Below are 19,494 nucleotides of genomic sequence, written 5' to 3'. Positions count from 1 at the left end.
CCATCCCTCCATTTTCTCATTCATCCATCCTTTCATCTACCCATTTATCCATTCATACTCTCCACCCATCCATCTCTCCACCCATCCACTGACTCTTCCACTCAACCTCCATCTATCCATCACCTCACTCCTCACCCATCCATTTTCCTACGAGTCCTTCTCCCTTCTCACCCATCCATTCCTCTCTTCATTCATCCACTCATCTCTCCACCCAACCATCCATCCATCCATCCATCCATCCATCCATCCATCCATCCATCCATCGAGACACCAGATGGACCAGCCCTTGGTGCAGCCTGGACCAACAGTGGCAGGGGAGGAGTGACACACTCTCCCTCTGACCTTCAGCCTCACTCTGAGTTTCTCTCTTAGCAGTCATCCGGGCCTCTCATGTCACCGAGAACATTATGGTGGGCGCCTGTGAGCTCTTCCTGACCACCCAAGACTTCTAGGATGCTTTCCCGACCACCCTGCTCCACCCAGGGCAGAGTTGCCAACTCCTTGATGCCTCCTGTGTTGCAATCCCAGTCAGATGAGGTCCCAGGGCCCCAGGGTGGGCGGCGGCTCACCGTAGCCGTGCTCGTACTCTCGGTGTCGACGCCGGCGGTGGTGATGATGGTGGTGGTGGTGGCGGTGGTGGCGGTGGCGGTGCCGCTGAAGCCGGGCCTGCCTGTCCCTGCGGATGCTGCCCACAATGATGGTGATGCAGGAGAGGATGATGACCACACCTATGACGGCACTCGCCACCAGCACGGGGGACACGAGCAGATGGCTGTGCTCCGAGCTCTCTGAGAATGTGGGGTAGAAGTAGCTGGTGCGGTTGTATCGTGCTACTGTGGACAGAGAGAGAGGACACTGAGCTGGAGCCCAGGCCTGCCACACCCCTTCCTTCTCTGCCCGTGCTGCCCTGTGAGCTGTTGCTCCCTAAATAAATGGAGGAGGGTCTGGGCTCAGGCCCACGGACTCTATCCTGGCTGCTCCTGGGGGAGAAGGAGAGCAGCACCTCACTCCGCTGCCTGCAGGAGCCTCTGGTAGTGAGGGCTGACTGTCCCTCCTCTCCTCTGAAGCCTCTGCCCACAAGCTGAACTACCTCACAGATAGGAAACAGGAAGCTCAGAGAGGGCAGTGGACTTGCCCAAGGTTACCCAGCAAATTAGTGGTAGAGCTGAGGCTTGAATCCAAGACTCTTAGAGCTAGACAAGTTGAAAGGTCAACATGATTTTACCAATGTCTTAGGAAGCAGTGGGGGATGCACAGGGGGACAGAGTATGAGTAACGATTCTGCCGGCTTCAGGCAGGCCTGGGGCTGTGGGCTGAAATTGACCCAGATGCGTCAGGGGCTTGGATCAGATGAGAGAAGGTTTCCCAGAAGAGGTAAGGCCAAGGTGATCTTGGAGGGTGAGGATGAGTTAGCTCAGGGAAGGCAGGGAGAGGCATTCCAGGAGGGACAAAGGCACAGAAGGGTAGAGGGGACTTCCAGGGAGGATGTGGTGTGGTGGGAGCAAGGGGAGAGTGCAGGAACCTCCTCCAGGACTAACAGCTGGATCCTTGAGAGTCCTACGGAAAGAAGCTCCTGGGGACGGGTGACTTAGTCCTCTCACCGGAAAAGATGCTGGGGCCTTGGGAGCTGGGGTCCTGGGGAGGGGTCTGAGTCAGCTAGGGGCAGCCATGGGCACCCACTGCCTCACGTGGACAGTCAGCTCCGCATTAGTGAGTGTCTTGGAGTGTCACTGAATTCCCTCCAACTCAGCCCTGCAACTTAGGATGCAACTTTCTCCTTTCACAGATGGGTGGACTGAGACTCAGCGCTGGTAAGTGACTGGCCCATGGTTGCTCAGTTACTCCACGGCAGAGCTAAGCTAGAACCCAGATCTGGCTTCAAAGTCCAGTGCTTGCTCTCTTGCCCTCAGTGCCTCTCCTGCTCTCAGTGCAAACCCTTCCTGAGGCTGCCAGCCGGATCTCTGAACAGCAGTAGGGAGCCAGCTTCAGACATTCAATGAACCACAGGGTCACGGGCAAGCACCAGGAAGGTCAGATCTTTCGTAGGCTCTGTTCTGAGAGGGGTCCCCTTGCACGTTCTCCCAGAGCCCATGTTCAAGCCCCAGCTTTGCATTTGTTACATATGATCATGTCTGGTTTCCAGGGCTTGTGTTTGATCACTCTCTGTGTCCTCAAACTCAACAATGGGGCTAGGCACTCCAAAGTTTCCTAATGCATGTATTGAGTGAGTAGCTCCAGTCTTGAGACCAGATGGGGAAATGGCAGGGAGGCCTTGCGATGCCTCAGGAGAGTGAGGCCTCTGTCTTGGGTGGTAATCAAGGAGAGCGTGGGTGGCCACCTGCCTGAGTAGCTGTAGGAGGGCTTTTTTCCCAGGTGAGGGCCTGGCCATCTACCAATCAGAGGCTTGACACTCAGCTGTGATCGTTTCTCCTTCCCATACCTTTCTAGCACTGACCCCAAAAGCCTCAATCACACTCAACCTAGGACAGGAACAGGTGGTAAAGCACAAACTCGGGACCTTAGCTGGGGCTAGAAACATGCCCTTGGGGCAGGTGTGGCCCATGCTGGTGGCTCTTGCAGCCTACTAGCCTTCATCAGGAGGGAGTGAGATGGAGGCTCTAGTGTCTGGGCCAGTGTGTCATCTCACTCTTGAGAGCCAAGCCTTTGCTGAAGTTCACTGTAAGACGCTCCCCTGGAGAGGCACGCACTGGAGTGAGGGAGCGCCCTAAGGCTTTGGTTGGACATGCATGCTTCCTGACCCTCCGATGTGAGAATGTGGGGTGTGGAGACAAGAGTGACTCCATCTTGGATGCTGATATAGTTTGGCTCTGTGTCCCCATCCAAATCTCACCTTTAATTGTAATCCCTATAATCCCCACGTGTTAAGGGCAGGACCAGGTGGAGGTAATTGAATCTTGGGGGCAGTTTCTCCCATGCTGTTCTCGTGATAATGAGTGAGTCTCATGAGATCTGATGGTTTTGTAAGTGTCTGGCATTTCCCCTGCTTGTACTCATTCTCTCTCCTACTGCCCCGTGAAGAGGTGCCTTCCGCCATGATTGTCTGTTTCTTGAGGCCTCTCCAGCCATCTGGAACCGTGAGTCAATTAAACCTCTTTTCTTTATAAATTATCCGGCCTCAGGTATTTCTTCATAGCAATGTGAGAATGAACTAATACAGATGCTAATCTGCCCTGTTGACTTCTGATTAGCCCTGGTCCTGTGAAAACCTCCTGATTCTCACTTTATTTACTGTCTTTAGCGTAAGAACATGTCAGCCTTGATGTTATTGCACAAATTATAGGTTATGATGCATGTAGCATTCTTGCCTGTTCTGGAGGGCTGCCTTTAATTGTCTTGCATAGAGCATGTATACCCTTTCCCTGTGATATATAAGCCCTGGGTCTGGGGAGCAACAGTGTGGAGATCTACCTGTTTTGCTGCTCTCCAAGACTACACTTCCATCCTTAAGTTCCCCAAATAAATCACTCTGTACTGACAAATTGGATTTGTCTGCCTCACTTTGGTGATAAGTTAAAATGACATCACACTAAAACTTGTGAGATGCAGGCTGGGCGCAGTGGCTCATGCCTGTAATGCCAGCACTTTGGGAGGGTGAGGTGGGTGGATCACTTGAGGTCAGGAGGTTGAGACCCGCCTGACCAAGATGGTGAAATTCCGTCTCTACTAAAAATACAAAAAAATTTACCCGGGCGTGGTGGTGGGTGCTTGTAATCCCAGCTACTTGGGAGCCTGAGGCAGGAGAATCACTTGAACCTGGGAGGCGGAGGTTGCAGTGAGCAAAGATCGTGCCACTGCACTCCAGCCTGGGCAACAAGAGCAAAACTCCATCTCAAAACAAAAACAAAAACAAAACAAAAAACTTGCAGGATGCAGCTAATGCAGTGTTTAGAGGGAAATTTATGTATGTAAATGTCTACATTAAAAATGAGAAAAGATCTCAAATCAACAACCTAACCTTCTACCTTAAGATACTGGGAAGAGAAGAGCAAACTAAAATCTGAAGTGGGCAGAGAGAAGGAAATAATAAAGATTAGAGTGGAAATTAGTGAAATAAAGAATAGAAAAACAATAGAGAAAGCCAATAAAACCAGAAGTGTGTTTTTTGTTGTTGTTGTTGTTTTTTTGTTTGTTTTTTTTGAGACAGAGTCTCGCATTGTCTCCCAGGCTGGAGTGCAGCTGCAACCTCTGCCTCCCAGGTTCAAGTGATTCTCCTGCCTCAGCCTCCTGAGTAATTGGGACCATAGGTGTGAGCCACCACGCCCGGCCCAGAAGTTGGTTCTTTAAAAAGATTAACAAATTTGGCCGGCTGCGGTGGCTCACACCTATAATCCCAGCACTTTGGGAGGCCGAGGTGGGTGGATCACTTGAGGCCAGGAGTTCAAGTCCAGCCTGGCCAACATGGTGACACTCCATCTCTACTAAAAATACAAAAAGTTAGCCAGGTGTGGTGGCACACACCTGTGGTCCCAGTTACAGGTGTTACTACAGACCTTACAGAAATAAGAATTTTCAGGGAATACTATGAACAACTGTATGCCAACAAATTGGATAACTTGGATAAAATGTGCAAATTCCAAGAAATACACAAAAGTAAGGAAAAAGACTTAAAAAGAAACAGAAACTCTGGCGAGGCCTATCACAAGCAAAGAGATTGAATTATTAACACGAGAAAGTTCTCAGCTTCTTTTTCCGGAAAGAAAATCCCAGGACCAGATAGCTTCATTGGAGAATTCTACCAAAAATTTACAGAAGAAATAATAACTTTAATGCATATAGGATTTCAGTTTGGGATGATGAGAAGAGTTCTGGAGATGGATAGTGTTGATGGCTGCATAGCAATGTGAATGTACTTAATACCAGCAAACTGTATACTTAAAAATGGTTAAAGTGATAAATTTTATGTTACATATATTTTATCACAACAGAAAAAGCTAAAAAGGAAATAATACCAATTTCCATAAACTTTTCTAAAACATAGAAGAGGAGGGAACACTTATCAACTCATTCTATAAGGCCAGCATTACCCTGATACCAAAACTAGACAAAGACATTACAAGAAAAGAAAATTACAGAACAATATCTCCTAGGAATATAGGTGCAAAAATCCCCAACAAAATACTAGCAAATTGGATCCAGTAATACATAAAAAGGATTATACACTAGGACTAGATACGATTTATCCCGGGAATGAAAGATTGGTTTAACATCCAAAAAATCAATTAATGTAATATACCATATCAATAGACTTTAGGACAAAAACCACATGATCAAAACAGATACAGAAAAATATGACAAAATTGAATTCTCCTTCTTGATAAAATCACTCAACAAACTAAAAATAGAAGGGAACTTCTTCAACCTGATAAAGGGCATTTATGAAAGACTCACAGATAACATGGTGCTTCATGGTGAAATACTAAAACCTTCTCCCTATGATCAGGGTCTAGACAAGAATGTCCACTTTTGGTACTTCTATTCAACATTATATCGGAGATTCTAGCCAGGGCAATTTAGGCAAGAAAATGAAATAAAAGGCATCCACATTGTAAAGGAAGAAGTAAAACTACATTTGCAGATGACATAATCTTGTATATAAAAAATCCTAAGGAATTCATTAAAAAACTATTAGAACTAATAAATTCAGCAAGGTTGCAAGATACAAGACTGATAGATAAAAATCAATAATATATTTATATGGTAGCAATGACCAAACCTAAAATGAAATTAAGAATGAAATAGAAGTAAATTTAACTAAAGAAGTACAAAACTTAGGCTGGGCACAGTGGCGCACACCTGTAATCCTAGCACTTTGGGAGGCTGAGGCGGGTGGATCACCTGAGGTCAGGAGTTTGAAACCAGCCTAGCCAACATGGTAAAATCCGTCTCTACTAAAAATACAAATAAAATTAGCCAGGCGTGGTGCCAGGCACCTGTAATTCCAGCTACTCAGGAGGCTGTGGCAGGGGAATCGTTTGAGCCTGGAAGACGGAGTTTGCAGTGAGCCGAGATGCGCCACTGCACTCCATTCTGGGTGACAGAGCGAGACTCTGTCTCAAGAAAGAAAAAAAAAAATACAAAACTTATATTCTGAAAACTCCAAAACATTTTCAAAAGAAATTAAAGATCCAAATAAATAGAAAGACATCCCATGTTCATGTTTCAGAAGACTAAATATTGTTAAGATGACAATACTCCCCAAATTCATCTGAAGATTCAACACAATGCTGATCAAAGTCCCAGCCTTCCTTGCAGAAACCGAAATGATCTTAAGCTGATCTTAAAATTCATGTGAAAATTCAAAGGACCAAACGTAGCTAAAATAACCTCAAAAGAAGAACAAAGTTGGAGGGGACGCATTTCCTGATTTCTAAACTTACTACAGAGCTACTATGATCAAGATAGTGTGGTACTAGCATGGAGATAGACATATAAATAAATGGACTAGAATTGAGAGTTGAGAAACAGACCCTCATATTTATGGTCAGTGGATTTTCAGCAAGGGTGCCAAGACAATTAAATGGAAGAAAGAATAGTCTTTTCAACAAATGGTGTTAGGACAACTGAATGCTTACATTCAAAAGAATGAAGTTGGATTCCCTACATAATATACAAAAATTAACTGAAAATGGATTAAAGACCTAAATGTATGACCTAAAACTATAAAACTCTTAGATAAAAACATAGGGGTAAGTTGTCATGATTTTGGATTTGGCAAATGATTCTTAGATACGACACCAGAAGCACAAGAAGCAAAAGAAAAATAGATAAACATCAAAATTAAAAACTAGTGCAGCAAAGGACACCTTCAAGAAAGTGAAGAGACAGTCGGTAGAATCGGAGAAGATATTTGTGTATCACTTATCTCATAAGGGACTTTTACCTAGAATATGTAAAGAGCTCTTACAACTCAATAATAAAAAGACAACCCAATTAAAAAAATTGTCAAAAGATCTGAACAGACATTTCTCCAAAGAAGATACAATTGGCCAGTAAGCACATGAAAAGTTGCCCAACATCATTAACCATCAGAGAAATGCAAATCAAAGCCACAATGAGATACCATTTCACACCCAGTAGGATGGCTATAATCAAAAAGACAGATAATGCCAAGTGTTGGTGAGGATGTGGAGAAATGGAAACCCTTATAAACTGCTGGTGGGAATGTAGAATGGTACAGCTGCTTTGTGAACACAGACTGGCAGTTCTCAAATGGTTAAACATAATTATCACATGATCCAGCACTTGCACTCCTAGGCATATACCCAAGAAAAATGGAAACATAAGTCCACACAAAAATGTGTACATGAATATTCATGAGTATTACTCATGGTAGTCCCGCAAAGTACATGGTGCACAGCTGCCTCTTTCTCATCCTTTAGAGCTTTCCTTAAAAGTCAGCTCCTCAGACAGGTTGCTCCTGACTGACCTCTACCCCACTATATATCATGCCATGTGTTTTCTTTGAACAGCAGTCATCACAATCCCTAAACATCCTGCTTATTTATTTGTTTACTTGTTTATTAAATTGTGATGTCTTTGGATTCCCTGTCCACCTCATTTGATTGTTAGATCTTTGAAGGCAGATATCCCATCTGTCCTGACTTTTTTTTTTTTGAGACAGTTTTGCTTTTGTTGCCTAGGCTGGAGTGCAATGGCGCGATCTCAGCTCACCGCAACATCTGCCTCCTGGGTTCAAGCAATTCTCCCGCCTCAGCCTCCCAAGTAGCTGGGATTATAGGCATGTACCACCATGCCCAGCTAATTTTGTATTTTTAGCAGAGACAGGGCTTCACCATGCTGGCCAGGCTGGTCTCGAACTCCTGACCTCAGGTGATCCACCCGCCTCGGCCTCCCAAAGTGCTGGGATTACAGGTGTGAGCCACTGCCCCTGGCCTTGTCCTGACTCTTTTATTGCATGAATCTGCAGCGCCCAGCCAGGTGCTGGGCACATAATAGGTGCTCATTAAATATTTGTTGGGTGACTGAGTGAACTGCAGAAAACTTAGTTGGCTCTGTGTCTGTCTCTTCATTAGTCTAGAATTCAGTTTCTTCTCTATTTTTTGACTGATTGTGACAGCTTGAGTTTTGGATGAAGTGCCAACCTCTAATTTTTATTCCCTTGGCTACTGTAAACTAAAGCTTGTAATTTTTCTTCAAGACTCACAGAGAAAAGGTGGCAAGGTGAGGCTCTCCTCCATCTTTTTCTTGTAGGCAAATGGAGTCAGTTTAATTTGGCTTGTTTGACCTCAACTTAGGAGAAATCTAGTCCTTGTCTGGTGAATCTATAGCATACCTGCCACCACTTTCTAAGTCTATGCCAATGGCAGACATTACTAATTGACCATGGTTCTCTTTCCAGTTCAGTTCAGAAGGCAGACTCAGCATCCTTCTCAACACAGCACTCCATGCTGTGACTACAACTGGCTAGAGCTGGTTATGAAATGGAGCTTTTGGCTACCACTCATCTAGCATGATCCCGGTTCTCCCTGCTACCACTCCTGAGCCAATGGCCACTCTGATTGCTCTCTGTCATGCGTCCTCTCACCTTCAGAGCCCAGGGCAGGACTTGGGAGTGTTAGGGACACCAGCCCTCCTTAGGGAGGGTAGTGTGAGGGGTTCACACTCTGTAGAATAGTGGGCTGGCTCCAAGAGTCTTGTCCCCGATGGGGCTCTGGAATGTCTTCTGACCCCAGATGTGGGTTGGGACACACTGGTCACCCCATGATCCCCCATGACCCCTGGCCATGGCAGGGTTGCAGGTGCTTAGATTGCAAACCTAGAGTTGGATGTGCGTGCGTTTGTGTGTGTGTGTGTGTGTGTGTGTGTGTGTGTGTGTGTGTGTGTCTGCGCCTGCCTGCCCTGCACAGCACGCAGAACCTGCCTCTGGGACCAGCCCCATGGGGTCACCTTGAAGATGCCTCTCCCTTCACCTGCGTCAGCAGCAGATGAGAGCCTTGCCCTTGTCTAGCAGCACCAGGCTCATTACCAGATGGGCGGGAGATGGCATCACCCATGCCTGCAAGATGGAGCCAGCTGGTGCAGGCATCCGCCTGCTTGGACAGCTAGGAAATTAATCTCCCAGTCACCACAACCGGCAGAGGTAGGCGCTGCTTTAAATTATGAGGGAAATTCTTCCAATTTCCAAAACAAGGGCCTATTTTATCAAAAAGATAAATATGACTGCAGAGAAATAACATGATGACAATCCCCCTTCCCACCCCCGGTCTCCCTGTCCCCCTGTACCAGCTGCAGCAAGGATAGAAGATGAAACAAGCTTTGCCTCCTTCCTGGACTTTCTTCCCAAGCAGTTTCTATAAAGGTGCTCATGATCCAGTGGAAACCTCAAAAAAATAGGCTCTTCTCTGAGATACCACCTCCCCCCCAATGCCAGCATGAGTAATTACCATCTCCTGAGCACCTACTGTATTGTATGCCTTACACCATACGTGGTACTTGTCATGCACCACATTATCTCATTTAATCCTCATGATGGTCTATAATGGGATTCCCCAGTTAACAGGTAAGGAAACAGCCTCAGAGAGGTTAAGTAACTTTCCCAAGGTCACACAGCCCCACAGATAGAGACCTGGGTCAGTGAAAAACTGAAGCCCTGTGCTCTTAGCCAATATGCTATTCTGTGGCTACCAGGCACCATGCACTGGGAGTTCTGGTTTCTTAACTCTTGTGAAGGGAGAATGCTCTTCTCCCCAAAATGATGTTTTGCTTCTTCTGAGCCACTTGATATATAGCCAGAGCCAGCCATGACCTGGGGCTATTCAGGATGAAGGTGTATCAACAGCTGAACATTGCCATAAGATACCAGGATTCCAGAGATGGGAGCCTGTGTGTCTCAGAAAGAGATGGGCCACAGCAGGCAGGTGCCTGGGGAGAAGCAAATCATCCAGGGATGTGCGAGGACCTCCTGTTCTGTATCTGTTCTATCTCTGGGTATGTCCTAGAGATGTTCTAGATTGCAGGTAGGGACCCTTGGGTGATTTTACTGAGGAAGAACAATGATAAAGATAAGATAGCTCTCACTGACAGCACTTACTGTACATCCATCAGGCTCTAAACTCTTTTCATGCATGCTTCTCTCATTTAATCTTCACAGCAGCCCTGAGAGGTGGAGAGTGTCTTTCCTCCATCTTACAGAGAGGGAAGCTGAGCACAGAGCTGGTTAAAGTGGTGAGCCTGGAATGCTCTTTGCAATTCCTGAACTGGCACTCTCCAGCGCTCTGGTTCCACAGGGACTGAGAACACCAGGAGGGTGGGGCCTGTGTCTCTCTCTCTTGTCACCCCATCTGCCTAGGATACTGGGCAGGGCCAGTGCAGAGAGGAAGCTCAGGAGCCATTTGAATTGGACCAGGGGCAGTCTGTGACTGGTTGCTTGGTGTGCACGGTGTGCCTGAGTGCATCCCAGGGGAGCTGCTCCCAGTCACCCATTGGCCCATCCTTCCGTCCATCACCCACCCAACCCCCACAGCCCAATCGTGGGATCCACAGACATTTACAAGGAGTGGCAGAGTGTCGGAACAGAGTAGGTGCTTTCAGCCAGAAGAGCAAGTCAGGACTTAAAGAGTCCTGGTCTGGAATGGGCTGCCCATCAGTGATAAATCCGTCTGGCAAATTCCATTATAGGAGAATCTTGGGGCCCTGCTGAGGACTTGATGCATTTGAGGAATCACAAGAGAGGAGGAGGCTGGAGAGAAGCCTGCTGGGGGCTAAGTTTGGAGGGGCTTGCAGGGACCATACCGTGAGGGGTCTTCAAGGTCACATCAAGAGACTGTCCTTTGGGACAGGTGCAGTGGCTCATGCCTGTAATCTCAGCACTTTGGGAGGCTGAGGTGGGTGGACCACCTGAGGTCAGGAGTTTGAGATCAGCCTGGTCAACATGGTGAAAACCTGTCTCTACTAAAAATACAAAAAATTAGCCTTGCATGGTGGCAGGTGCTTGTAATCCCAGCTACTCGGGAAGCTGAGGCAGGAGAATCGCTTGAACCCAGGAGGCAGAGGTTGCAATGAGCTGAGATTGTGCCACTGCACTCCAGCCTGGGTGACAGAGTGAAACACCACCTCAAAAGAGAAAAAGAAAAAAAAAGAGAAAGAGATTGTCCTTTTCCCCAAGGGCAAAGAGGGGCGTGGTCAGAGTGTTTTAGGAGAGCCTCGGGTTGCAGATGGAGGACAGAATGGGCAGAGGCAGGGTTCGGGGCAGGAGACCAGGGAGGAGGCTGCTGCAAGGGTCCCCATGAGCTTGGAACTCAGGCTAGAGGAAGCTGAGCCCACGGCCTCTGCCCTGAACAGAGGTGAGCACAGAGCTGAGCACGGCTTGGATGAGCACACTTGATGCCACAGAATGACACTGCAGGGAGTTCCTTAGCCTCTCCAATTAGTTGTCTTCTGAGCAGCCTTCAGAGACAGCCGTGGTATTATTCCCATTCCACAGATGGGACCCCAAGTCCCCTGACGAGGCAGGAGCGGTGCCTGGGTCCATGGGCCTCTGCTGTGCAAGGCAGAAGCCAGCTCTGGCTCCTCCAGCTTCTAGTCCAGGGCTGGGACTGGGAACTCCATGGAATCAGAAGGTCCTAAGTGCAAAAAGGTCCTTTTGCAGACCTGGATGTGGGAGTGAGTCTGGGGCTTGCTTCCTCTCTGTGTGGATACCACTGTCACTCTCATTTACAGATGAGGACATTTTGTCTTGGTGAGCTAAAGTTATGTGTTCAAGATTGCCCACCTGGTTTTGTGGCAGAGCTGGGGTTTGAACTCAGGTTTATCTGATAATTTATCAAATAGTAGCACAGAGCAGAAGGAGAGAGCAGGATTTTGTGGGGCTGAGGGGTTTGGGGGTGGGGGCCGGAGAACTGGGCTCTGTTCCTCGTTCTGTCACTCATTCACTGTGTGACCTTCGGCATGCCGCTTGCCCTCTCTGAACCTGCTGGCTGTTTGAAGAGGCACTGATTATTCAACTCCCTCCAGGGTGGGAGGGGAGGGGGCCAAAAACTATGAGGGGAGGGAATGAGATCCAGGCCTGTATCAGGTGGCTTAGGTCAGGGCTGGCTCCGGTGTGGGGAACCTGGGGAACATTAAGGGCAGGGAAACTGAGGCAGACCATCACTCCCAAGTCCTTGCTGAGTGTAGCATGGAGGCAGCTCCACAGTCATTCTGTCTGGGTTCAGGGAAGTGCTCTTTGCAGCCTGAAGCTACCTGAGCTGCAGTGACAAAGGGAAGGAACAGAGACGCAAAAGTGCTGACTCAGCACCTTCAGGCTGCCAATCCTGCCCACTCTCTCAGAGATGCTGGTTAGAGGGAGAAGGGGGGCCAAGGACTCAGAACTAATGGATGGCTCCTGTCACAAAAATTCCAAAGACATTTGTCACAGGTCCACTTCCCGGGCAAGTCTGGCCTCATCAGTACACTCTTCCTCCACTGCTGAAATGGACAGGGTGAGGCGTGGAGTCATTGGAAGGAGTGTAGGGAACACGACTCAGGCACCATTTTCCCTCTGTTCACCATTGGCTGATCCCATCCTCTAAGCAGGGACTTCAAGAAGGGCTGGGGGAGGGGACATGGCAGGGCAGGGCTCATTGGTTTGGATACTTCTGAGTCTCCTCTGCTGCTGTTTTTTTTTTTTGGGCAACTTTTTAGCTCACTTGCTGATATCTGTCCTCTGGTCACCAGGAGACTGATAGAGGGATGTTGGAGGTCTGGGGACAGGCCAGGGACATCTCAGAGAGGAGGACACAGAAGGGCTGGGTCTCGAAAGATGAACTAAGCATATCAGGATCAGTAAAGGGAGAGAAGAGCATGGGCAGGAACACAGAGGGGTGAGTCTGTAGGATGTCACCTTGATGGCAGCTGAACATTTGGATCATGGGGTGAGGAAAAGGATACTTGGTGTTCAGACTACTTTTTACAATGAGGATGCATCTCTACAAGAAGTCAACTAATGTCTTGTCATGGTCCATGCCACCTGACATTTGTGGCATTGGGAGCGGGGCAGATTACAGTGGACAGGAGACATGGAAGGTGAAGTCATATACCTATTCATCAGTCCCTATTCAACAATCCTCCATCAATTCACCCAGCCAGCAAATCATCCATCCTCTCAGGCATTTACCTATCTATGCATCTACTCAACATCCACTCAATCGTTCACTTATCCATCCATCCATTAATCATCCATCCATCCGTCATTCATCCATCCATCCACCCATCCCCTCACCAATACTCACCAAACACTTAATTCATGCCTGGATATATGCTAGACACTGGGAACACAAATATGAATCAGACTAAAATGGACCTCTCAAACTGGGGAAAGCAAGAGGTCCCACACAGCTGCCCTGGCACTGTTCCCTGCTCCCACCTCTGCTTCCATCTGTTTAATGTGTCAGAGTGAACAGGAGAGCACTTTACTGCCAAATAGAAGCTTTTCAACCATTGTGTTAAAACGTAACTGGAAAAATACAAGTGACCACCCACAAACCCTTAATGGTTCTATAAATGTAAGATGAAAGCAATTCATTCCACTATTAAGATACATTCTGCCACTTAAGTTTATTTAAATAAACTCACTAAGAGTAACGCACATATTCCTCTGCGTATCTAACTTCCTTAAGTTTACCACCTTGTCATCATTCACTAAGGTTTTAACTCCGGCTTAAAGAAGAACTTATTTATTGGCTGAAAAACTCACTGAAACAATTTCACAAATTACTTTTCCCTATTTCTGCAGAGCAAATGGCAAACTGGTTGACATCACAGAACCAAGCCACATTAGAATTAAACATTCCACTTGAACCCACACCAAGCTCTCATTTTCTTGCTAGAATAATGACTGGACTCAACCTGCTCATATTCTCTTCTCTTCCATCACCATCTAGAGTTGGCTCTTGGGCCATTTTCCACAAAGAGCCCAGAGGCTTTTATATATATAATATAATGCCAGTGGAGTTACTGTGCATGCCTGATAAGTAGGAGACAGTGGAATTGGGTTGAGAAGCAGATTCTGGGGGGCTGGCTGGGCCCACCTACCGGCTAGGGGATTTGCTCCCACACCCCAGCTTGCATTTTGCTACTCAAAATCATGGCTCAGAAAAATGACCTTTGACTATAATATGGACTTTCCAGGAAGCTAGTGAATAATTGACATGTAAAATGTTAAATTCATGAATGCTGCGAATTTTCATCAGCTATCCCACCCAGGGGAGAGAGAATATTTACAAAGGATTGTGTGAAGGCCATGTCATCCACAGGCTGCTCTGCACAGTAAAGGTTTTAGTCCTTGGAACAAGTTCAACCAGCCTAGAGCTGTGTTCCTAGGCCACAGTGACTGAGCCTCCTTCCCAAGAATGAGCTTCCTGGAGTTGGGCTTTGCCTTATGCTCAGAGCCTGTGTTGAGGGGACTAGCTTAAGAAGTAGCTTTATCACAGCCAGGAGCAGTGGCTCACACCTGTAATCCCGGCACATCGGGAGCCTGAGGTGGGCGGATTGCTTGAGCGCAGGAGCTCAAGACCACCCTGGGCAATATGGTGAAATCCTGACTCTTAAAAAAATACCAAAATTAGTTGGGCATGGTGGCGTGTGCCTGTAGTCCCAGCTAATTGGGAGGCTGAGGTGGGAGGATCACTTGAACTTGGGAGGTCAAGGCTGTGGTAAACTGTGATTGCACTACTGCACTTCAGCTTGGGCAATAGAATAAGACTCTGTTTCAAAAAAAAAAAAAAAAGTAGCTTTATTATAAGCGTGTTGCTGCAGGTATTGTCCACTATACCTCTCAGTATCCCTAGGTAAGGCTCATGTAATAAATTTCTCCAAGATATGAGGGCCAGGGAAAGCTTTTCTTTCTCCAAAAGAGCTACTTTCTCCTCATAGACCATGAGAATCATGTAACTGATCCACTTTGCTGTTTTGCTTTGGCCTCCAGGAAGCTCAGGGACACTCTGTAGCTCAACTTCAAAAGGAAAGGAAATCATTCCTTCTTTGGCTCTCTGGTGCTAGTTAGCATCATTCAACACAGCCAATTTACAAATTCCCTCTGTGATTCAGATTTGGGAGAATGAGCCAACTTATGGTATGTGCAGGTCACCATTACATTACTTGCTGTTGTAGCTGTGAATAATCATCCTGATTTGGGGGTGTTACTTGCATTGCTCTAAAAGCTACTGGGAGAGGATGTACCCAGAAGTGGTAAATGCAGTGTTTAAGAGCCTGGCTTAGTGACACTGACCAGGGTATTTAATACTTACGTACCTTAGCTTCCTCATCTGTAAAAGAGTAATGACCACTCAGAGTGTTTCTGTGAGGATTAAGGGAGATAATTTAGCAGTCCATACATGCAACTATAAAGCTAGACAAAACTGTCAAAGTACCATTGCAGTTCCTGGAAATTGATCAAAGGCATACAACGAACTGAGAAGCACTTAGTATGAAAAAGACTGAATGTCAGGTAAGCACAGTGTGAACCTGTAATGTTCTTGCCTATGACTGCCTCCATACCCCTCCCCACCAGCTCTGCTCCCCAGTCTGTGAAAACCAGCAGCTTCCCTGCTACTGTTGGAAAGAGCCCATCCAAATGGATCACACTTTCTTGTTTCTTTGTCTTATAAAGTATGATCCATATTCAGGAAAAAATAAAAATAACAAAATAAAAAACCAAACCCAAAGCAAAAAAAAAAAAAAAAAAAAGAAAGAAAGAAAAGGAAGATGTATGCATGGATTAATAACTCCACTTAAAGGGCAGAGATTGTCAGAGTAAATAAAAAGACAAGACCTACCTGTATGCTGACTGCAAGAAACACACCTGATTCAAAGACACAAATAGTTTGAAAATAAAAGGATGGAAGGAGATATAGCATACAAACAGCTTGAGTGGTTATGCTGATATCAGGCAAAATAGACTTTAAGGCAAGATATATATTTCTAGAGACAAAGACATTTCATAATGACAAAAAAGTCAACATATTAGGAAGATATAAAAACTATATATGTATTATATATGCACTTAACAAGTCCCCCAAAACATGAAGTAAAAACTGGGAGAATTGAAAGAAGATATAGATAATTCAACAATAATAGTGGAGATTTTAATGTCCCAATCTCAATAACTGACAAAGCAATTAGAAACTCAGCCAGGATACAGAAGACTTGAATGACGCTATCAACCAGTGTGACATTCATAGAAGCCTTCACCAACTGAAGATTACGCATTCTTTTCAAGTGCACATGAGACATTCTCCAGGATAGACCACATATGGGCCATAAAACAAGTCTCAATAGATTTAAAAAGATTTAAATCATACAAAATATGTTCTCTGACCACAATGGAATTAGAGATCCAAAATAGAAAACTATCCGGGAAAACCCCAACTACTTAGAAATTAGGCCGGGCGTGGTGGGCTCACGCCTGGAATCCCAGCACTTTGGGAGGCTGAGGCAGGAGGATCATTTGAGGTCAGGAGTTTGAGACCACCCTGGCCAACATGGCAAAACCCTGTCTCTACTAAAAATACAAAAATTAGCCAGGTGTGGTGGCATGTGCTTGTAATCCCAGCTACTTGGGAGGTTGAGGCAGGAGAATCATTTGAACCTGGAAGACAGAGGTTGCAATGAGCTGAGATTGTGCCACTGCACTCCAGCCTGGGCAACAGAGCAAGACTCTGTCCCCCTGACCCAAAAAAAAAAAATTAAACTACATGCTTCTAAATAATCTATAGGTCAAAGAAGAAATCACAATAAAAATAAAAATATATTTTAGGCTAGGCACTGTGGCTCATGCCTGTAATCCCAACACTTTGGGAGGTCAAGGTGGGAGGATTGCCTTAGCCCAGGAGTTTGACACCAGCTTGGGCAACATAGTGAGATCCTGTATATACAAAAAAATAATAAAAAGTTAGCCGGGTATGGTGGTGCATGCCTATAGTCCCAGCTACTTGGGAGGCTGAAGTGGGAGGACTGCTTGAGCCCAGGAGTTCAAGGTTACAGTGAGCTATGATTGCACCACTGCACTCCAGCCTTTTGAAGCCTTTGTCTTCAGAAAACAAAACAATGTGTGTGTGTGTGTGTGTGTGTGTGTATAACAGAATGAAAAAAAACACAACATAGTATCAAAATTTATGGAATTCAGCTAAAGCAATGCTTAGTGGGAAATTCATAGCTTTAAATACTTATATTAGAAAAGAAGAAAGGAAAAGAAGAAAGGCCTCGACTTGAAAACCTAAGCTTTCATGTTAAGAAACTAGAAAAAGAGTAAACAAAACCCAAAGCAAGTAGAGGAAGGAAATAATAAAGATGAGAGCAGAAATCAACGAACTAGAAAACAGAAAAGCAACACAGAATATCAATGAAACCAAAAGTTGTTTTTTTGAAAAGATAAAATTTACAAATCTTAGCAGCTTTATGAGGTAGGTGCTAGTAATCTGATTTAATAGATGAGGGTACTGAGGCTCAGGAAGGTGAAGTGACTTGCCCAAGATCGCAAAGACAATTTTTAGTTGGGGGGAGGGAGACAGGATTTGAACCTGGTTCTGACTCCATAGACCAGGGAATAATATGATATCCTCTCTCCATCCTGGGGAGCTGTGTGTCCCTTCGTTACTCTGGGGCCGTACAGTTGGGCATTGGGGTAAGTGAGTCTGCCACGTGAGGTGCCATGAGGATTGGGAAACCCAGCTATGAAGCAAACCATCTCTAAACCCCATCCTCCTTTTCTCTACACTCTGGAATGTCTGTCCTGCAAAAAGCGTCTAGAAATTTCCCCAATAAACACTCACCTGACAACGCACTCAGATTCCTGGTCTCCCCACAGATCCCTTCGCCAAACACCCATGAGGGATTCTGGTGCCACCTGACCTCTGTAAATGTCACACTGGATGGGCATGCTTTTGCCAACTCCTTTAGGCCTTTCTGGTGGGACAGCAATTATGGCTCCTTCACTGTTCACCATGCTGCCCAGGCCCAAAGCCAGAGGCCTACAAAAGGCATGGCCCTGTGGTTTTCGATTCTGGAGCACATTAAAGGTGATAGGATTTTGTCCTCTGATCCTCAGAGATTCCTTCATTTCCCAGAATTTACAAGGGCATTTGGAAAACCAGCATCAGGGTAGCAGTGTATTAAAATTAGTATACTAGGGCTTATTCCAGAAATGCAAGGATGATTTAAGATCAGGAAATCTATTAGCATAGTATGTTACTTCAGTAGGCAGGACGAGAGAAACCAGTAGAATAGGAAAAGACAGTTACCTCTTTGCCATGATAGATCCTGATGATCTCAACTGACTGCCAACATCACACTAAACCATGGAGCTTTGGAGTAGTTTCCCAGCATGAGGTTCATGGCATGTGGATTCCAAAAAACATTATGGGGCATTTGGGGAGAAGTTCTTTATCCCCCACTCCCCATCAGATTGCTTTGCAGGCCTGAGCTATTTTGAGAATCAAACCAGTCCCAGTCCCAGGCCTTGTGTTCACCAACGTTTAGTATCCTGAGAAGGTAAGCAGCTCTAGGGTCTCTGGAAAAGGATCATCCTTCAGCCACCTTCCTTGGGCAGCCAAAGTCCCGAGTTCCTTTGCTGGAGCTGACCTGCTTCTTGGACTAGGACAGAACTCTGGTTAAATAAGACACAGACAATCCTGGGTTCAAGTCCTGGCACTGCCTCTTGCTGGCAGTGCCCACTGAGCAAGTCAGATCTCTAAGCCTCTATTGCCTCATCTGTAAAATGGGAGCAGCAATTTCGGCTATGAGCTAATCAAAGCAAACTGCCTAGCAGGATGCCTGGCTCATAATAGGTGCCCAATACATGACAATCAAATATTCAAAATTTAAAGACATTCCCTAGACTCAGAACTAAATGTGAAAGACAAAAGAGTAAAGCTTGAAGTGGAAAACATCAGAGAACATCTTCATGACCTTGCATTTCTTAAACAGGACACAGAAGATACTAACCATTTAAAAATGGATACATTGGACTATATTAAAATAAAAAAACTTTGGTTGGAGTTTGGGTTGCAAAGTGGTGGAGGGCTGAGGGCCTGCACAGGGACTGAGGCATCCAGGGTCAAGGTCAAGGTCATGGCTGGAACAAGTGAAAGATTTTGAAAGAAGATTCTCTAAATATATTCATCATTTGCAACCTGCCCCAGGACACTGGAGAATGTTTCTCATGGAGGGATCTGTCTGTACTGGTGCCTGGGAGTGGTTAATAGATCCCGAGACAAAAGAGTTCCTTCTTCACGTCTTTATGGAATCATCCATTTTTTCATGATTAGCTTTTCACTCTAATAGGTTTGTTCTTTGCTGGATGCACAAGAGGTAGTTGCACCATCAATTACAGCAGTTCAGTGTCAAACAGTATTAACAGAGTATAATATGTCTGGTGATGATACTGGAAAACTAATTTTGAAACCTAGGCCTTGTGTTCAATGAGGGGGCCTAAAACAGCCTTTCTTCAAATAAGTGATAAGTGAAAAGCCCCCACAG

The 19,494-nt window shown here is 45.8% G+C and overlaps 2 protein-coding genes, 1 long non-coding RNA gene and 1 pseudogene across 7 annotated transcripts in view; 3 read left to right on the top strand and 1 right to left on the bottom strand.

Annotated features, from left to right (window-relative positions):
• Positions 1-639, top strand: part of BEAN1-AS1 (BEAN1 antisense RNA 1) — a 6,607-nt gene extending 5,968 nt beyond the window's left edge. Inside the window, exon 3 of the long non-coding RNA NR_109960.1 lies at positions 373-639. This is a non-coding gene — a long non-coding RNA (BEAN1 antisense RNA 1). The remainder of the gene's footprint in view (positions 1-372) is intronic.
• LOC124903698 (uncharacterized) overlaps positions 1-3,500 on the top strand; it is a 19,348-nt gene extending 15,848 nt beyond the window's left edge. The window contains exon 5 of the mRNA XM_047435016.1: positions 373-3,500. The gene's annotated coding sequence lies outside the window, so the exon portion shown is untranslated. The remainder of the gene's footprint in view (positions 1-372) is intronic.
• The window catches only part of BEAN1 (brain expressed associated with NEDD4 1), a 67,994-nt gene that overhangs the window by 24,854 nt on the left and 23,646 nt on the right, over positions 1-19,494 (bottom strand). For all 5 annotated transcript variants that reach the window (NM_001197224.4, NM_001178020.3, NM_001136106.5 and 2 more), the window contains one exon: positions 570-833. Coding sequence is in view for 3 of the 5 variants with exons in the window: in NM_001178020.3 (NP_001171491.1) it covers positions 570-833 (264 nt within the window). In the remaining 2 variants the exon portion in view is untranslated. The remainder of the gene's footprint in view (positions 1-569; positions 834-19,494) is intronic.
• On the top strand, positions 1,669-19,494 carry LOC107984807 (nuclear envelope phosphatase-regulatory subunit 1-like; annotated as a pseudogene).

Source organism: Homo sapiens, chromosome 16 (genome assembly GCF_000001405.40).
Source record: "Homo sapiens chromosome 16, GRCh38.p14 Primary Assembly".
Classification (NCBI taxonomy): Eukaryota; Metazoa; Chordata; class Mammalia; order Primates; family Hominidae; genus Homo; species Homo sapiens.
This window is presented reverse-complemented; position numbering and strand designations above follow the sequence as displayed.